Source organism: Homo sapiens, chromosome 12 (genome assembly GCF_000001405.40).
Source record: "Homo sapiens chromosome 12, GRCh38.p14 Primary Assembly".
NCBI classification, from domain to species: domain Eukaryota; kingdom Metazoa; phylum Chordata; class Mammalia; order Primates; family Hominidae; genus Homo; species Homo sapiens.
The window spans coordinates 104,781,915-104,801,800 of record NC_000012.12 but is presented as its reverse complement, the minus strand read 5'-3'; the positions used below and the strand labels follow the sequence as shown (position 1 = coordinate 104,801,800).

Genomic DNA, 19,886 nt, shown 5'->3' with positions numbered 1-19,886 from the left:
TCTAGACCTCCAATGCATTGCTTTACTACTTTTTGACTGTCAAATACTCTCCTCATTTCTTCACTCCTCTCATTATCCAGCTTACATTGCTTGGTTCATCAGTCCATACATCTGCAACTGCCTCTCTCATGCTGGCAGGACAGAATACAAACTCTGGATAAAGACAGCTCTCTGTGTTTTGCCTGTACCTGAGTGCTCAATATGGCTCATGAAAAACACACAACTCCTCTGACAGATCTTTAAATTTATAACCTCAGACATCAAGTTAACCCCCAACTGCCCAGCAACCTACTCTGTTTCTCTAATGACTTTACTTTCTGAGAGACAGGTCTTTGTCCCCAGCACTTTACTGAAAGCAAACTTGTTGTCAACCTAAATAGTAAACAGAGAGAAGGTTTCTAAAAGAAAATGATATTCAGGAATAGGCATTGCAATGGGAATACACGTGCCACAGTGTTCCCACTGCATATGAACTACCTGCATATTCAGGGAGGTAAAGGAAGGAGGAGGTTTTTAAAGAAGGATTACAAATTATTTTGAGATAATTATCCTTGGCTACAAGGATCGACAGCAAGCATAACGCCAGTCTGAGGTTGAACAGGTGTTTGCTGGGCGGATATTCTCACAGAAGTATTTTTTGTGTGTAAGGTTGCAATGGCCATTGTACAAGGTTGTGGTTTTTGCAGAGTCTTTTGTGATGGTTTTTGTTACTGGGCATTTATGCATGAGAAACCTTTCTTCATGGCCTTCTCTGGCTCTATTTGTCAGAGTTTTATTAACACAAGTGACTCCATTATGTTTCTGACAAGTTTCACATTTCCCCCTTTTGATCAAGATATTTCTCCAAAAGCATCACTGACCAATCATCCTGTATTCAGGTGTTGATAGCTCCTGATGCCAGGATGGGCCCGTCCTGGGTTGCTGATCTGGTCCTATGTTAGAGAAAGTGAATGGTGGCTAGGAGTCCGTGTCAAAACCCTATTATCCACGTTTGAGCAACAAGGGAGGTTTGAAGGGAGTGGATCTCAGGCTAAGTCTACCTGGAGTCCATTATTAAGTTCAATTTTTTCTGTTCCATAGTCGTTTGCTGTTATCTCAAAGTGCTGGGCCAGCATTGTTCTGTTAGGAGTTCTACTTCTGCAAAAATTTAACAAGTAATAGTGCAAACTTTAAAAAGGAAATAATAGTAATTTGAAAATCCCTGTTTGCATAATGGTTTTGAGCTGTGAATCTAGGCTTAAAGACAACTATTTGAATGAAACAAATGACCATAGGGAATTAGGTAAGACCTGTTGTAACCATGTGGCTATGTTTTTATTTTGCTTATATGGGTTTCAACTTTCCCAGAGGGATTTATCCGGGTACAGCATGCAATATTTGCAATAGCACAGAAATTTTCTTATTTAGCCAGTAAATAATATAGAGCTATTTATCATCTAGTATCCCATGACTGGGTTGAATTAAAGCAAAAGGTGAGCACCAATTGTATTAAGGATGTTGCCAAAGTCACCCAATAAGTGGGCTAAGGAATCTTTTAGATTAGTTTCTGTCTAGTTACTGGCAGAAGCTACTGATTAAGAAATTTACACCATTATCCAGCCAAGTGAAAAAGGTAGCAGTAAGGGAGGTCAGGGTCTTGTTATGATATAGAGTCTTGTGCCAATATCTTGGGAAAAGCTGTCTACAGCATGAAAATGTCAATTTCTTATCCTGTTTGCAGTTTGAATGTCTCTGGTTATGGCATTAGGCAGTTTGGTGAACTCTTTGTGTGGCTCATACATCAGGCACAAGACTTGTTCCTTAAAATTTATCATTTCAGCTTATAGAGATTTAGGAACAGAGCAGTTCCTGTTTTTAGTAATTCCATGGAAGAAAGTTGGATTAAAGGAATATAAAAGAATTCAGGATCTAGTCTACTCTATAGGTAAATAAGAACCTGAAAACAATGCACAGAGCTATAATCTAATAGCAGATGTATTATAGCTTTTTCTTTATAAATATAACTATTTCTGCCTATGTTGATCACACAGGAATCTCAGATTTAAAAACCTCTTGAGGCTAGGAAACCAAACTAAGGAAGACTTTAGATGTTACCTACAGTCCTAAGGCTCCTGAGCCTGCCAGGAAGTGAGTTTTTATTCACCGTAAGGCTGAGAACCCTTGAAGTCAGGTATTCTATGCATATTCTCCAATCTATTTCACTCAAAGCCTTGGTAATATAACCAGTATTTTCATTGTATCCAGTTATAGAAAGCAGATTTTTACTGAATTTATGCAAATAACCATGAATAGTTCCCACATTTTGGAGGCATCAAGTAGGTAGAAAAGCAATTGCTTCCATCTTTGTTCACACGAGTACACTTTACCAAATTTCTGTAAACTATGGATAACTAAGAAAAAAAAAGTTCCTTCAATCTGGAAAATAAAACATTTAAGAACCAATAATGTTTCAAATAAACATAAAAACATCTTCATCAGTTACTTAATCTCATGTAATTAATTTTTGTTTTGCTTGATCTTATCTGTTTTATGAACCCATCAGTTTCTTCATTAAATTTTTGAAAATTTTTTATGTAGTCCATTGATCTTACAGTTATTAGAAACCTGTATTTAAGAGTAGTTGTTAGAGTATTTTTCATGAAACTAATTGCAAATGCTTTTGGAGAAAAATCAAAACAATAATTGTGAATGACAGAGACTTAAAATAGCCATGGTTAAGAATCTGACTTTGATTCATTACAATCAGCAATTGACAAGGAAATTTGGTTATTTTATGGCATACAATATAATAACCAGAATTATGGCCAATAAGATATTAGATTTCTAAGAGTTTTGTACAGTTGGGGACATTCATATCAATAACATACCCATAAATGTAACTGAAAGAAAACCTAGCATCACTTATCATTTGACAATACTTCCCGTACAAACAAGCCTAGTCACTTAATATCTCTACAAGATGAAAGATACATCCTTTGAGGCTCTCCAGTGGCCCACATGGAAAATCCTGAAGTTAATTCTAGGTCAAAAAGATTTAATTTAGAATGTTGATCCTGGAGAAGCCTGCCAAAGATGCCAAAAAGTTCAAAATACTTGATCAAAACAGGATCGCAGGTCACTGTGAAATAATAGCCATTCATTTAACCAGAGTGATAATCCAAAGACTTCAAAAGCAATAAAGTTTCATAAATGTAAAAAAAAAAAGCAACTTTTTCAAAGCTCAATTTTTCTACATAATAATAAAAATAAAGATAACAACAGGAAATTATCTTGGTAAATATAAAATATTTGCTTTTTAGGCCAGTTACCAAAAATAAAAACCTCCTCCAGTGTAACTGCTTCTCCTTATGGGAAGCCTATTTAGATAATCTGGAAGTCAAACCTCATGAAAGGGTACTTGAACTTAATCAGACACAGGAAGAGTGTGCCCAAGGTTATGAATGTATACCATATTATAGAGAAATATAAACAAGAAAACTAGTACCTTGAGCAGGGGAATATATGTCTCTTACTAACATCATCAGAAGTTTCCTGGTTACATGGAACAATTCAGACACATTAAGAAAAGCCAACAGAATTAAGTTATACTAGAAGAAAACACTGATTTTCCAGGCCTTCAGGATAAGCATTTTACTGTCAGGTTATAACGACAGAGTTGGAGCTGGAGAAAAAAGTTAAGGAATGACAAAAAAGTTGAAGGAGAGAGAGATCATCTCAGTCCTTCTCAAGTAGAGAAAGAAGAACAGGAGGCAAGATGTTATGACCTGCAAATCACATGTCGCAAGATAGAGCCAAAGTCGAACTTCTGAGAAATAGATCTGAGAAGCTTCAACAGGAAAACTCTACCTTGTTAAATGAAATTACCAACCTGAATGAAGACAGCATTTTCAGCCTGAAACTAGGGACATTAAATGAATGTCAGGAAGAAATGTGGCAGAAATAGAAACTGTACAGTTTAGAAAATGCCTGCTAAAGAAACAGATTTTAGAATTAAAAATAAAAATGTCTTGTAATTTTTGCTAAGAGCAGATCAAAAATTTGAGAAAACCTGGCTATTCTAGCATAGGGGACCAAAAATTTAATTTTGTATTAGTGTATTTTTAATATCAAAGTTCAATCTTTAGAAAAACTTACAAATAATTCCCTTCTAATTGTAACCAACATGATCACACAAAAATTGCTTTTATAAATTCATTCTTCACAAACCTTATCATGATTTACTCAGACACTCGATATGCTTAGCTTTTTTGCTTTGTCCTCTACTTCGTCTTTCTTAAATAACCAGTCATTTGATGTTAGGACAAAAATATGCCACTCAAGATTCTTTCTTATACAAAATTATTCTCTTCCTCTTAAACTTCCTTACCAAAAACATATCTTCACTGTCAAAGTCACCAATAGCCTCCACATTGCCAAATCCAATGATCAATTTCTAATAAGAATTCTTACCTTATTTAATCTCTAAAGTCATTTAACAGAATCTCCTTCCATCTTGAAATATTTTCTTTACTTTGCTTCCAAAAGTCTGCCCTTCGCTTTCTTTCCTTACCCTACTAAAAGCCCCTTCTCAGTTTGTTTTGCTGGTCGCTTCTCTTGTTCTCAATCTCTAAATGTTGGAATGCTCTAGGGCTCAGTTTTATCATCTCTTCTCTATCTACTTTCTTTCCCGATGTGATCTTACCCATCTTATTGTTATAAATATCATCTGTACTGATTATTCCAAAACTGTCTAGTCCCAACCTCTCAACTGAGTTTTAAATCTGTATTTCCAAATACCTGCCAGACAACTCTACTTGAATGACGACTAGGTATCTCAAGCATTTGAACACTCTCATCCACCTTGACCTAATTGACATCTGTAGAACACTTTATCCAACAAATGCAGAATACATATTGAAGGTTAATCTCCTTGGCAAACAAAGAACTTTTATAAATCAAGGGAAAAAATACCAGCAACCCAATAGTAAAATAACCAGAGGAGAGATGGTTCACAGAAAAAAAAATTTAATACCACTCAAAAAAATGCTAATTAAAATCACACTGAGATACTACTTACCTATCAGATTGGCAAAAATTCAAAACTGGATAAAACATTCTCTTGGCAAGGCTGTAGGGAGACAAAATTGCTGGTGGTAGAGCAGAATAAAAGCTCTATAGTGGGGAATCTAGCCATATATAACAAAATTACAAATGCACTTGTCATCCTATCTTGTAATTTCACCATTACTAGGCAAGTAAAGGCTGGGCCCTTTGCTGCATGATTTATAGCAAAGTTTGGCAAATTTCAGCCAGTGGGCCAAATCCAGTTTGCTGCCTGGATAAATAAAGCTTATTAGAATTCAGCCATGTCCATTCATTTCCATATGGCCTATGGCTGCTCTCCCTCTATACAGTAGAATTGAGTAGCCTTAAAAAAGACCATAGAGCCTGAAAGCCTAAAATCTTTACTATCTGGCCCTGCACATACACATACACACACATACACACACACACACACACACACACACACACACACACACACACACACACACACACGTTCACCTACCCCTTCTTTAGAGTGAATTCCTAATTTCTAAATCTTCTTTCTAAGTCTCCCCACTGATAGCGAGACTAGCTGGAGTCAGCAGTGCCATCTGGGCAGGGTGCCCCAACTTGGAACTGATCCTGTATGGTCTCCAGTTGGCAGAAGCTCCTACCTTACAGTTTTGTAAGTTGCCATCCAAAGCCTGAGACTGGCCAGTGGGCTGGCAGTTGGCCCAGTTTCTGTTTTTCCCCTTGTTTGAGGTCCACCAGAGACCAGAGACTCATGCCTATGGGGTAGTTCCAGGATTCTATGGCCAGCCCTAGTTCCAGAAAGGCATTTTGATGAGTTGATTGCTCTTACTGACCAAAATGACATGTTGATTTTGTGTGACTTTCATGTCAGACACAGGGGAAGTTGAGAGCTCTGGGCCACTAACTGTCCATAGTTAACCCTTGGACTCAAGCCGTAGCTGTCTTATATCAGCATTCTGGCTGCAGCGTTGCCTCCCGTCTAGAGCATTAAAGTATGACACGGTGGTAGCAGTCACCCTTTACCCTGTGCATACTTCATCACTTGCACTTAGGGAGGTTTCCCAACCCCCTTTGCTGGCTCTAGAACACATGTCAGGCAGTTCTCTAGGGATGGCTGTCCCTTTCTCTCCCAAAGGTATTCAAGACCACTGCTCCACAGCCGGCCCTTTCAATTGGTGTCCTTCTTGCCTACCGTCAATGTGGTGATGTCGATGTGGTACCATTTCAATACAAATAGGTTCTGAAGAGCCCTGGCATTGCAACCAGTAACAATATTGTTAACTTTTCCTTGCAGTGGGAGATATGAAATTAGCCAGGAATAACATATTTGACAATAAAGAAAAAACACAAAAAGATGGTACCTGGACACTATGAAGAATCTTCATCTGTACTTACTGGACAGTAGCCAAATGTGTAAGTACCTCTTTTCTATCCATTACACTAAATCTTCATTGATAAATCACTAAGCTTCAAATGGGTTCAAGGATTTTGCAACAACAGTTTAAAGCCAAATGGCGTAAGACGGCAGTGGCCCTGCAAAGAATATTTGCCTGGAGCTCCACACATCCTAGGAGCCGCCTGGCATCCAACTTTTTGAAATCGATTCTACAGATATTCGCAGACATATATGTCATGACGTACTTCAAGATTATTATAGCTTTGTTTGTAATAGTAAAAGATAAGACAACAACTCAGGGCTCCTAGTGGAATAAATTATGGTGCATCCATACAATGGAACATTATGCAACTGAGAGACAGAAGGAATAGGAAATATCTTTACAGATTTATATGGTAAGATCTCCAGGATACATAGTAAGGTGAAAAAAGCAAGGCATGGAACAGTGTATAAAATATCCTTCCTTTTTGTAAGGTTGTGAGAAACAGGATATTTCTCTCATTGGGAAATAAACATTTGGGCAAGAAACACTGGAAGAAAAATCAGGAAACTGAGAAAAACGGTTACCTATAGAGGACAAGGCATAATAAGCTGAAAGGGAATAGGGATGAGGACAAGACTGGTCAGTGTATACTTTATAGATCATTTTCATTTTTGAATGATGTATGTGTATCTCAAAAAATCATTTAGAACTTTTATTTTTAAAGAAAATTTATTTTTAAGGAAAAATATATTCTTTGCCCTATTGACATACCATTGTAGAAATCGGTCCTAAGGTAATAATCACAATATACATTGCAGCAATTTTCAGCTTTACATTTTTCATTTGAAAACAGACTTAAGCTGGGACTGGTGGCCCATGCCTGTAATCCCAACACTTTGGGAGGCCAAGTGAGAGGATCTCTTGAGTCCAGGCATTCAAGACCAGCCTGGGCAACACAGCGAGACCCCATCCCTAAAAAAAAAATTTAGCCATGCATGGTGGCATGCACCTGTAGTCCCTGCTACTTGGGAGGCTGAGGCAGGAAGATCACTTGAGCCTAGGAATTTGATGTTATAATGAGATATGATTGCACCACTGCACTCCATCCAGCCTGCGCAACAGAGCAAGATCCTGTCTCAAAAAATAAACAAACAAAACAGGCATAAACTTCAAAAAAATTGGTACTATATATTATAGTCAGCAAATTTATATTTTAAAGCTCATTTGATGAGTTAGGAAAATATTTATAAAATAATGTGTGAAAAATACTGAGTACAAAACTTTATCTGGAATGACACTAATTTTTTAAGACACCAAAATATTTTAAATGTTTTGCTCTGGATGATGTGATTATGGATTTTTTTTCTTTTTAAAACTCTTTTGTGCTGAACAAATTTTCAAAAATGAACCTGTTACTTTTATATTTATTTTTTGAATTACTTAATAATTATTACTTTTCTAGACAATAGATCCCCAGCTCAAATAGTAGTTAACTATTGTTTTGGGTCTTAAAAAATAAAAAAAGATTGATTTTTGTCCTGTTTAGTAATGAGTACCTAATGTTTTAAAAAAATGAACATCCTTTTTATTCTTACAGATGAGAGAAAACATTCTGTAGAAATGGAACGTTTTAGTACTTAAAGACACTGGGGTATTATTAGTAGGAAGAAATAGTGAATAAATATGGGCCTAGAAGAATAACATTTTTCTCCCTATCATCTGTTCTTTAGGCAAGTGATAATGTTATGCTAACATAGGCTTCTGACTTCTGGTAATTCCCACAGACAGCCTTCTCTGGTCCTTCTCCCAGATCACACACCAAATTCCGCGGGTTTGGCACAAAACCATTCATGTCTGGCTTACTACAAATCCATGCTGTCCAGCTCCACGAACTTGCCCAGAGGGCAGTTTCAGAGCTTCTCTCTTCCCACTCTTTCTCCTCCACTGCCCTCAGCAGGTGGTTCTGACTCCAGGGAGAAGGCTGAGGCCTCTGGATAAGCTTCCTCAGTAACTCCTTGTCCCTGCCTTGACATGCCCATATTGTTTCAAGCTCACCCTTCAACCCATCCATTTCTACCACATTTCCTCTCTTTAGCACCAGTGGCCCACTTCTCTGCTCCATCATATGCACAAGACTTCCTTGGAAGGGAAAGCCTCCATCTGACCTTACCAACACCATTCTACTCTTCTCCTCTTTAATTGTCAACTCTTGCACAAGAAGAGACTCCTGCCTCTTCTTCCTGGCCATTGCCTCTCTGCTTAGCACCCGACAGCCATGGCACAACTTAACTGCAAGGGAAGCTCAGAAATGTGGTCTTCCTGTGTGCCCAGGAAGAGGAAGAAGAAATGAAATTGAGTTTAACACATAGCATTTGTCTCCACTGCAGGACTTAAGACATTTTATTCGGATATTCAAGGAAGACATCACCCAGGAGGCTGAAGGGCTTGAGGCTATTTGAGAAACAGAAGAAAGAGAAACCCATGCAGCTAACAGACTCAGTCACTAAGTCACAATTCCAACTCCTCCTGGCAGAAAATCTAATGACTCATCTTTGGCTCTGGCTTCTGATCTGCTGTGGCCAAGTTAAGGAGCAGATATCACATGGTGATTGGACTGCCTCTTCCAGTGCCGTGAGTCCTCTCACAGAGAGGAGTAAGCGGAGAAAGAATGATTGGCACCTCTAGAGTACGCACCAAGCCAATCTGCAGATCACAGGGAAGGTGACCTGAAGGTTATTTTATGAACTGCTCAAGATAGAACAGAAACAACTTTGCCTTACACTTTACACATTACTTATCCAGGCACTTTCGGGAAAGTAAAAGTTGCAAAGTAAAGTTATATAACATAGAGTAAAATCCTAAAAGGTAGTCTACACACACACACACCACACACACACACACACAGAGAATGAATGCATGGAAAATATGTGGAAAGTGTTTCCTCAATGAATGACTTTTAAACTAATACCTCTCTTCTAGATTAAGACATGAAATACTCTTAGGTTGAATCCCTTTTCACCCTCAGATCAAAATGTCAGTGTCAATAGGCCAAAACCAGAGACTAGACTCAGCTCTAGACGTTTTGTGGGAATAAGAAGTAATGGATTCACCTGAATCTTGGTGAAGTCACCTGTATTCCATGAGTAACTCTGGGCCCAGGGTTGGGCAGATAGTAAAGTCCCATTTTAGGTTCAGCCTGCTTCAGGGCAGTGGTAAAACTAAAGTCTTTAAAAGCTGATTTCCAAAAGATCTTTTGCCTAAAGGCAGTAGTCAGGTAGTTTTGGGACGTAGTCTCTTTTGCCTTGACTTTCTATTTCTCTTAGTGAATTAACAGTTGATGTTTATATCATTCATTGGCATATTACTGTCATCCATGTAATTGTATGTGTCTGTGTCATGAAATTTGGACTTTATGCACACAATGATGTGCATCATATAAATCACCAGGAAGGTAAGTTAAGCTAAGTACTGCCTGGGATTTGTTACACAGTTCCTTTTGAAAGGACACCATCTGAATATGAGATTCTGTTGCTGCAGCTATAAATTAATATGTATGATGCAGGCATTGCAAAGTGTTTTTTAAGAAATTATTACTTGTGTTTTCATTGTTTGCCTTAATAGATTCTGCTTATAGCATTTCAGAAGTTGAATGTAACAGAAACATGAAATGCCTGTTTATAGAGTGGATAGGTCGTGATAGATGCTAATTGGATTTGGCATACTCTTGTGATTTCATATGGCTTAATATTAAAGAGACAGGTTTTATAGGGCGCCAATGCAAGTTGATCTAGGCCATGAGTGAAGTTAACAAGCGTTAATTAAGTGCCACGTGTGAAACCACTTCTGTTCTTAACACCGAGAGGACTCCAAAAGGATAAAATACGGTACTCCCAATGTTCATGGTAAATGATATGTGAGAGGGCCAAAGATTTATATATGAGAAAATTTATATCAGTTGTTGATAAGAGTGAAAATCATAAACAAACTAAATGTCCGGCAACAGAGAAATGGTTAAAAAACTATGGTACATAAAATTTGCAAAATAGGTATCATCATGCACAATCATCTTTTCCAAAAACATTTAATGACATGGGGGAAATTTTCCCAATATAATGGAAGTGAAAGAAGGCATGGCATATGCAGAGAAAGAGAGAATGCATAGAATATATGTGGAAAGTGTTTGCTCAAACAATGAGTGATTTTTAAACTAATACATCTCTTCCAGATTGTTTAGGAAATGAAATACTCTTAGATTGAATCCCCTTTTCACCCTCAGATCAAAAGGGCAGTGTCTATAGGCCAAAACCAGAGACCAGATACAGCTCCAGACCTTTGGTGAGAATGAAAAGTAATGGATTCACTTGAGTTTGCTGTGGACTGTCCTCCACCATCTCCCACCCAGGTATTTGAGAGAAGCAAAGAAAGTCACATAGGTTTATCAGTTTTCCTAAGTCAAAACAGAGAAACTGTGATACAACTCAGGGAGGAATAAGTGAATCCTCACAAAGCTCAGGTATATACTTTCAGACCCTATTTTGGAGAAAACAGCATCAGAGCTCACCCTTATCCAGACCCTTTCCAGCTCAACTCCCCGCCGCAAGCTAGAGGCCTCCTTCACTGAGACCGCGCTCGCTGCTGCCCCTGATGGCGTCAACAGAAACTGCGAGGCCAGTGGCCACGGAGAATCCACAGGTCGTGGAATTGAGGAGCACGTCGTCGTGAGCTATTTCTGCAGGAGCGAGTGGTAGTGTGCCCAAGGGAAAGGAAGAGGTTGGGGACACTAAGGGGAGAAGGCAGAAGTGGGAATAAGTAGGGTATAAGCGAGGGCTGCCTAGCACAGCGCTGAGGGCTTAGCCAGTGTTTCACACTCGCACATTAGAGTCACCTGAATCCCTAAAAGAAACATAGATGGCTCCACCCCACTTCAGATTAATTGAGTCAGCTGTGGGGCCTGGGCACCTCAGGGCCATAGTACAGAAGGAGAGAGCAGTGCGGTACAAGTTCAGTAAGTCAGGGACACGGCTGATCAGCTCCTGCCACCTCCCCGATTCAGCTTCCTGACAGCCCCTGGGGGATTGATTAAAGGACTTTCCATCCTCTTTGGGGGCGCCGTGTATGCCTGCTTCAGCAAAAGGGCCGGTGGGGAGGCTGGCCTCCCGTCCTACATTCACTGAACGACAGCAGCCCCTCACCTGAACACGGAGGGACATCCCTCTTCCCCTAAGGTGGCTTGAGACATGCTCTGGGGACAGAAATAAGAAGGGACTCCCAAAGGGCCCACACTGACTTTGAAGTGGAAGACTCGGGATGGGGCTCAGAAGAATGAAATATGCATTAAAAAAAAAAAAAAAAAAAAAAAAAATATATATATATATATATATATATACAATAAAATATATCTTGTATACATTTTATTGTCTGTATATCGTGATGTTTTGACTTCTTAAAAACCCATAAGAATGATACAATGGACTGTGGGGACTCCGGGGGAAAGGGTGGGAAGGGTGAGGGATAAAAGGCTACAAATTGGGTATAATGTATACTGCTTGAGTGATGAGTGCACCAAAATCTCACAAATCATCACTTAAGAACTTACTCAACTGGGCGAGGTGGCTCACGCTTGTAATCCCAGCACTTTGGGGGACCGAGGCGGATGGATCACCTGAGGTCAGGAGTTCGAGACCAGCCTGGCCAACATGGGGAAACCCCGTCTCTAATAAAAATACAAAAATAAGCCGGGCGTGGTGACGTGTGCCTGTAATCCCAGCTGCTTGGGAGACTGAGGCAGGAGAATCGCTCAAACCCAGAAGGCGGAGGTTGCAGTGAGCCGAGATCGCGCCACTGCACTCCAGCCTGGGCGACAGAGTGAGACTCTGTCTCAAAAAAAAAAAAAAAAAAAAAAAAACAACAACAACAACAAAACAAGTAACCAAATACCACCGGTTCCCCAAAAACCTATGGAATTTTTTTTTTAAAAAAGAAAAGAGGAAGGAACGCTGTCCAATTGCTTTATTTGGCAAAAATAAATAAATAAATAAAATAAACAAGTTCTTGTCCTATTAAAAAAAAACAACAGAGGAGATTCAAACAAAAAATCCTTCTGGGCTGGAGACAGGCTACTCTCTGGGGCTAGCCAATTCTTAGGGAAAGCAAAGGACTCAGCTGGGAGCATGTCTTTGATATGCCAACTAGCCACTCCAGAGCCACACCTCCTTCATCTGGCCTATACTTCCCAGGAGACAGTATTCCTTGGCTTTAGTCACCCCAGGGCCAGGTACTGGGCAACCAGGGACCACTCCTATAGTTTAGAGCCCACCAAAATTATTCAAACTAGCCAGTTCTAAACAGTTCAGCCTGCCCTTCCCAGGAAACCCCTGTAACCTCTGGCCTAGACTTTCCCCTTGCCCCTGCTTTCTGCCCCTTGATCATCCCATGTGGCTTCCCCATGTGACCCTGCAGGAGTGCCACACTTCCTGTTTCCAGAATCTGTGAATACAATAAACTGTTTTTTTCCTGAGCCTCTCCTGTGTCCTCTTGTGGCCACATCTGACTGACCATCACATAAAAGAACACAGAACAAAATATACATGTAATATGTAACTGCGTTTTTAAGAGATTGGAAGGAAATGTTCATTATCTTACAGTGAGATTTTAGATTATTTTCTCTTTATGCTTCTCTTTCTCAAATTGTCTGCAATGAACATGTATTATTTTTGTATTATTATTATTATTTTGAGATGGATTCCTGCTCTGTCCCCCAGGCTGGAGTTCAATGGCGTTATCTCGGCTCACTGTAACCTCTGTCTCCTGGGTTCAAGCGATTCTCCAGCCTCAGCCTCCTGAGTAGCTGGAATTACAGGCATGCACCACCACACCCAGGTAATTTTTGTATTTTTTTAATGGAGACATGGTTTCACCTTGTTGGCCAGGCTGGTCTTGAATTCCTGACCTCAGGTGATCCACCTGCCTTGGTCTCCCAAAGTGTTAGGATTACAGGCATGAACCACTGTGCTCAGCCTATTTTTGTATTTTTTAAAAAGCTGTGTGTCCTAGAAGAGAAAGAAACGTGCCAAAAGTGTGTTCTAAATGAGATTTTCAAATGAAGTTGGCTGTAGCGTTTACGACAGGGGATGTCAGGTTTACTTGTGGCACCCTCATTGCCCAGGCTACTGTCTATCACTATCATTAGTGATAAAACCATGTTGATTGATATCATCACAGGATAGTGATTTAAGGATTTAATGCATCCTTTTAAGGCGATTTTGGTGAGCAAGTGATCCTCTATATGACACCGCCAGAAGCATACAGGACGAGAGTTCTTCATTGCATTTCCCAGGCTTCCAAAACGTCTGCAGACATATATTGGGCAAATTATATTCTAACTTGTTCTATCAACTGTTACCCAGCTTGATATCTCCCTAAGACCTAGTGTGCAACAAAATATAGTAAATACAACTTCAATTGTGATGTTATGTCTGGCTACTGATCAGATTATTGGACTATACTATTTTTGGACCCAAACAAATCAACCACAACCTTTGAAATGCACCATAAGAAGTAAGATAGTGCCCTTGAGAATATTAACAGTAGGTGCCCCTGAAAGTAAAGGGCCAAATATAGGGACATTTCAAGCCCAGTCGACCAGGTAGATGGGGGTGACTTGTTCAGCTGAGGAAGACCTTGGCTCCTGGAACTACTAAATTCCAATGATAAATATCTTTCTTTAAGGGCATTTGAAGGATACAAGCCTATGTATTTTTATTTAGTATATCTTTCTGCCAACTTTTTTAAAAAAAGTATTATTTTAGAGACAGGATCTCTCTCTGTTGCCCAGGCTGGTCTCCAACTCCTGGCCTCATGTGAGCCTCCTGCCTCAGCCTCCCAAAGCCCTGGAATTACAGGTGTGAGCCACTGTGTCTGGCCCCCTCTTTCAGTCAATTTTTTGTTGGGTAAACTGAATGCTTAATTCACTATACCCAACAAAATTTATGTTTATGTTTATACAATTATGTATTAATTTTGTGTTGCCTTGGCATCCATTTTAAATACATTAGACTTTCTCATACCAGAAGCAGGGCTCAGTCATTCCTGACACTATTTCCAGTCCAACTCCCTGCCGAGTTCCTCAATGTGCCCCATCCAGATATCTGCCTTATACAACTGCTCCCTAGTGACCACTTCCCCATGGGACAGCTAGATGCAGCCTGCTTGACTGGCCCCACTCACTCTTACACCCCACAGAGACTGTGCAGATCTGCCATAGTGACCATGTATCAGTTATTGTGTGACCTGGAACTTGTGCCTGCTTGGTTTAAACCCAATTAAAACTCCGTGCAGGAAACCTGTTTGGATAATGCCCAATACCCAATAAAGGCATTGGCCCATGGGTCTCTTTTTTCTCTCCCTGCCTGTGCTGTCTGACCTCCCTGTGTGGCCTCTAGGCATGCCATGTCCCGCCCAAGGACCTGTAAGTAATACAGTCTTTATTTCCATCTTGTAGTTCTCCTAATCATTGAAGGATGCTCTCATCTTAAAGATCCTAAATCAAAGAAATGGGGAAACACCAATAGGGTTAATTTTGAGTTTCAATTCAAGCATATTATGAAGTATTCCACATGAGGAAGAATTTTAGACTTCTTGGTCGTTTATCCAGAGGCTAAATTCAGATTAAGAAGCTTTATTAAGCCCCAATTATGAATGTGGCCAAAGGAAAAATGTGGTTAGTGGCCTCAGAGGAATCAGCACATTAACCATCTTGCAGAAATTTAAAACAATTCTGTCTGGGTTAATGGATACAATTAACACCAATAGACACCGTATGTAAGTAACTGAGGCTATTTAACGCAGTTATTGACTATACAAATCTCTGCACTGTGGATTAAGCAGTCTCACAATTCGTTAGAGAACGTAATTAGCAAGACTTTATTAAATGTCATTATTGGCTCCAGAGCAGATTTGTATGAGAAACACCTAGGTAGGTAGTTTTCTGAGAAGAATGCTTAAATGACCATCATTTCAATGCTTGGTTTTAAGTGGGTAAATATGTATCTTCAAATACAAATTGTTTACTAAATTCAACTTAAATTTCAGCGTATCCTTTCTCCCCACTTCTCTCCAATCTTCACTGGCCTTCATTTCTCCCACCACATTAAATGGACTTTTCTGCCCAGCCAACAAGGTCCTTCATAATCTCCCTACTACCCTCATTTCACTTTGATGTGTGTTTTTGCCAGTGTTAGGGCTGGCCTCCTCGTTATCTATTTTATCCAGTGAGCTCATTTCCTCCTTATCTCCCAGCTCCTCAATGGCTGACTCCTGTCAATCGTCGCCGAAGAATCATTTATTGAGAAAAAGGGAGTCAGAAGTAAGTAAGCCTATGGTAGAAAGAAGAAAGGATGCATATTTGAATCTGTAATGAGGCTGCCATGGCATGAGTGTGTCCCCTAAAGTTCATGTGCTGGAAACTTAATCCCTAATGCAACCATGTTGGGAGGTGGGGCCTAATGAAAGGTGATGAGGTCATGAGGGCTCTGGTCTCGTAAGTAGATTAATGTTGTTATTGTGGGAATGGGCTAGTTCTTGAGTGGGTTGTCACAAAAGCGAGTTTGGCTCCCACTCATTCTCATCTCTTTCCTCTTTTGCCCCTCCACCTTCCACCATGGGATGACACAGCATGAAGGCCCTTGCCAGATGCCAGTGCCATGCTCCCAGACTCCAGAACTGTAAACCCAGCTCTCCAGGTGATTCTGAGAGTTACAGGAGCCAGACATTTATCATTGGAGTTTAGTAGTTCCAGGAATTTAGCAGTTCCAGGCCAGGTCAATAACCACTCCTTAAGAGTGGTTATTAACTTCTCAAACTTTGATGTGCATGTAAGTCACTGGGGGATTTTGTTACAGATTCTGGTTCAGTGGGCCTGGGGTGAGGCCTGACATTCTCAAACTTTTTCATTTCAAAAAAGTTCTCAGGTGATGCTTATGTTGCTGGTCTGTGGACCACAGAATGAATAGCAAGGCTGGAATGGGAAAGGTAGAAAAGGACACATAGACTGAAATCATTTTGCATCCAAAAAGAAGTTCAGATAAAGCACAATTGCTATTATACTGAGTTTGTGCAGAATAGGATGTTAATGATGATGATAATGACAATGCTAGGCTGGATAAATATAATTCAGGTTTCCCCAGACCTCACCAACCTGCGTACAAATAAGGTCTTATGTTCACAATATGTTTACAGTAAGTACTCAGATTTATCCTGCTCATTAGTCTATTTGCATATCACAGAAACACTAGCTCCCTCTCTTTAAGCCTCACCCAATTATTTCTAGGAGTCCCTGGGGGTCTCTCACTTCACTTTGGCAAGAGTTGTCCTCTCAGGGTCTTCAGCTCAGGATCCCCTTTGTTCATGCTCAAAGCTCAAGACACTGTTTGGGTAGGGGCTTTACTCCTGTTGGTGCCATTCCTGCCCTGACAGCCCTGGTGTCTACTCCTAAGGCACTGTCTCCCAGGATCCCAAAGCTGCAGAAACTTGAGAGGCCAGAACAGGGCTTTATCCTTGAATTGAAGCCATGGAATGTTGCACATAGCAGAGGGCAATAGCTTTTCAGCAGCATTTTATGCTGAAGCAGCCCCACTTGCTCCCTGCTGTGTCTGCCTGAGTTCCCTGGGAAACGACATCAGATTCTACCTGCAGCCTGTGTCCAGACCATACCTATAGGCTGGCAAATGAACAGATATCATATCTGTCTCAGTACAAGAGGAAGCATACAGATAGACTCCAAACTGAAAAATCTGTCTCCCGGAATTGAGTTTCTTACCAAAGAAGTGTAAAAATAGGGGCAAGATGGCCAGTGCTTATGCCCATTTGCATAGAAGTTATCTGGGATTACTTTTTGTTGCACTCTTTAATTGGTTCACTGTTCTTGGAGGTCATGCCATTGTTTGTCTTCAAGTTATTTTTCCTTTTGCTGCAGTAAATCCTTAATTTACTTTTTCAGAAAGTGTATATACTTACCTATATATATGTGTGTATCTATATATAACCTATATGCAAACATGCATATATAACCTATATATGCATGTTATAACATGTTATATAACCTGTATATGCATGTTATATATAACCTATAAACATGCATAACTTATATAACAAACATGCTTGCACACACATGCATGTTTGAAGATAGGTTTTTGTATATCTAAGTTTTTACATGTGTGAAAATGTATTATATCCCTCTAATACTTGATTAATATTTTGGGTAATTTTCCATTTAAAATTATGTTTCTTCAGAACTTTGAAGGCATTTCTTTACTGCTTTCTAGAATTCACTGTCACTAATGAAAGAAAATAGTGGTTAAGAGTACTAAGCCAGACTGCTGGGTTTGAGTCTCAGTTCTGCCACTCACAAGGTATGTATCCATGGGTAAGTTCCTTGATATTTTCATCTGAAAAATGGTAATAATAAGAGTAGCTACCTTGTAGGACTGTAGTGAGGTTGAAATTAACCAATATAGGTCAAGTGCTGAAAACAGCTGATCGCACATAGTAAGCCTATTAAAATGTTAGCTTATTAACATTTATTATTAAAACGTTAGATCATTTTCCTCCTTTGCTCAAAGCAAAGTGGCTCCCTTCTCTTTCATCTTTATATTTATCCTCCATGTTCCAAAACATCATGGTACTATAGCTATGTGGGTCATTTTGCACTCATTGAGCTTGGAACTTAGGAAACTTTTTTGAATATCTTCCTTTAGTTCTGGGATTAAAAAAAAAAAAAAACGTTTCATGCTTTTTATTCTCTTTTCCTTTCTAGGATGTCTTAGTTAAATTTGGACCCTCTTGGATTGATCTTATGTATTTCTTATTTTTTTCCCCTCAGATTTTCCATTTCTTTGGGGTGTTTTTGTTGTTGTTGTTCTATATTCTGGGAGATGTTTTCATCTATTTATTTCACCCAATGTATTACATTCTTCATTTATGCATTTATATCTTTAATTTTTCACAACCTACTTCTTGTTTTTTGCTTCTTTTTGTTAGTACTTTGAATGGATGGATATGATATCGATCCATATCTTTGTGGCTCTTAATTAGATTCGTTTTATGATCTTCATTTTCTCCTAAGTTATCTCAGTTCCTCCCAGAATGTGATGAACAAAAGTCACTTATAGATGCTTGAAATCTTTGAGCACTCTCCCCATATTTTGATACCTTTTCATAATATTAATTTCATCTTCTCATAGACATTACAAATATTACATTTCCCATCTCCTTGTAATTAGAATATAGACTTTGATTCAGCCAACCAGCATAGGCTCTTTTGAGAGCTTTGATTCTAAAGTTAGTTGCAAGAAGAACGTGCTAGGACACCTGGCGCCTATTTTGCTGGCACTGGGGGAAGGCAGAGGTGCAACATTTTTGGAGTCCATAGCAGCAGTGGCCGCAGCAGATCTCTTCTCAGACCAGTCCTGGAGTATGGTTCAGGGAGATGTTCCTGGAGACTCAGCCTGAGATGATTCCTCCAGTCCTTTCAAAGATTATCCAATAATAAATACATTCCCCATGATGGCTTTCCAGCCTGGACTTATCCCTCAGATTCCAGATTTTTTCCAACTGCCTATATGACCTTGCCACATGGATATGCAGTGAACCACACCACCTGGCATTTGTGCCCATGTGTAATCCTCTTTCCTTGAGTGTGGGCTCGCTGGGCATGTTAACTCACTCCTAATTAATAGAATAGGGTAGATGTGATGGATGTCACTCCAAGATTACGTTATAAAAGGACTGTGCCTTTCATCTTGGGCACTCACTCTCTCTAGCCCTTTCTTGGATGACTCAACCTGAGAAAAGCCAACTCTCATATTATAAGGTAGCCCTGCAGAGCGGCCTCTGTGGTGAGGGACCAATGCCTCCCAAAAACCATGTGAGTTAGAGGGGAAGCAGATCCCTCACTCTCAGTCAAACTTTCCAATGAGACCACAGCCCAAGCCCCAGTGACTCCAAGAGAGACTTTGGGCCACAGATACTCAGCTAAACTGCACTCAAGATCAAACTCACAGAAGCTGTGAGATAATAAATGTTTGGGGTTTTTCAGCCACTGAGTGTTATTTTGCAGCAACAGATAATGAATATAGGTGTCATAAATTTAACTTGTCTAGAACCGAACTCCTGATCTTCAAGTCTGCCCTCAACACGCTCCTCTCATAGTCTTTCCTAAAAAAAAAGAAAATAGTGGTTAAGAGTACTAAGCCAAGCTACTGAGTTTGAGTCTCAGTTCTGCCACTCACTAGGTGTATATCCGTGGGTAAGTTCCTTGATATTTTAATCTGAAAAATGCTAATAAGACTAGCTAACTTATAGGACTATTGTGAGGTTGAAATTAATGAATATATGTTGAGTGCTTAAAACAGTTGATCACGCATAGTAAGTACTATAAAAGTTTTAGCTATTTTT

General features: G+C 39.6%; 1 annotated feature.

The window, feature by feature from the left end:
* Window positions 19,511-19,680: an enhancer, noted in NCBI's record as "experimental_24027 CRE fragment used in MPRA reporter constructs". NCBI's record gives its function as "activates a minimal promoter by MPRAs in K562 erythroleukemia cells, with activity observed for both the introgressed and non-introgressed 12:105175984 variant alleles {active_cell/tissue: K562}" and the evidence as "EXISTENCE:reporter gene assay evidence [ECO:0000049][PMID:34662402]".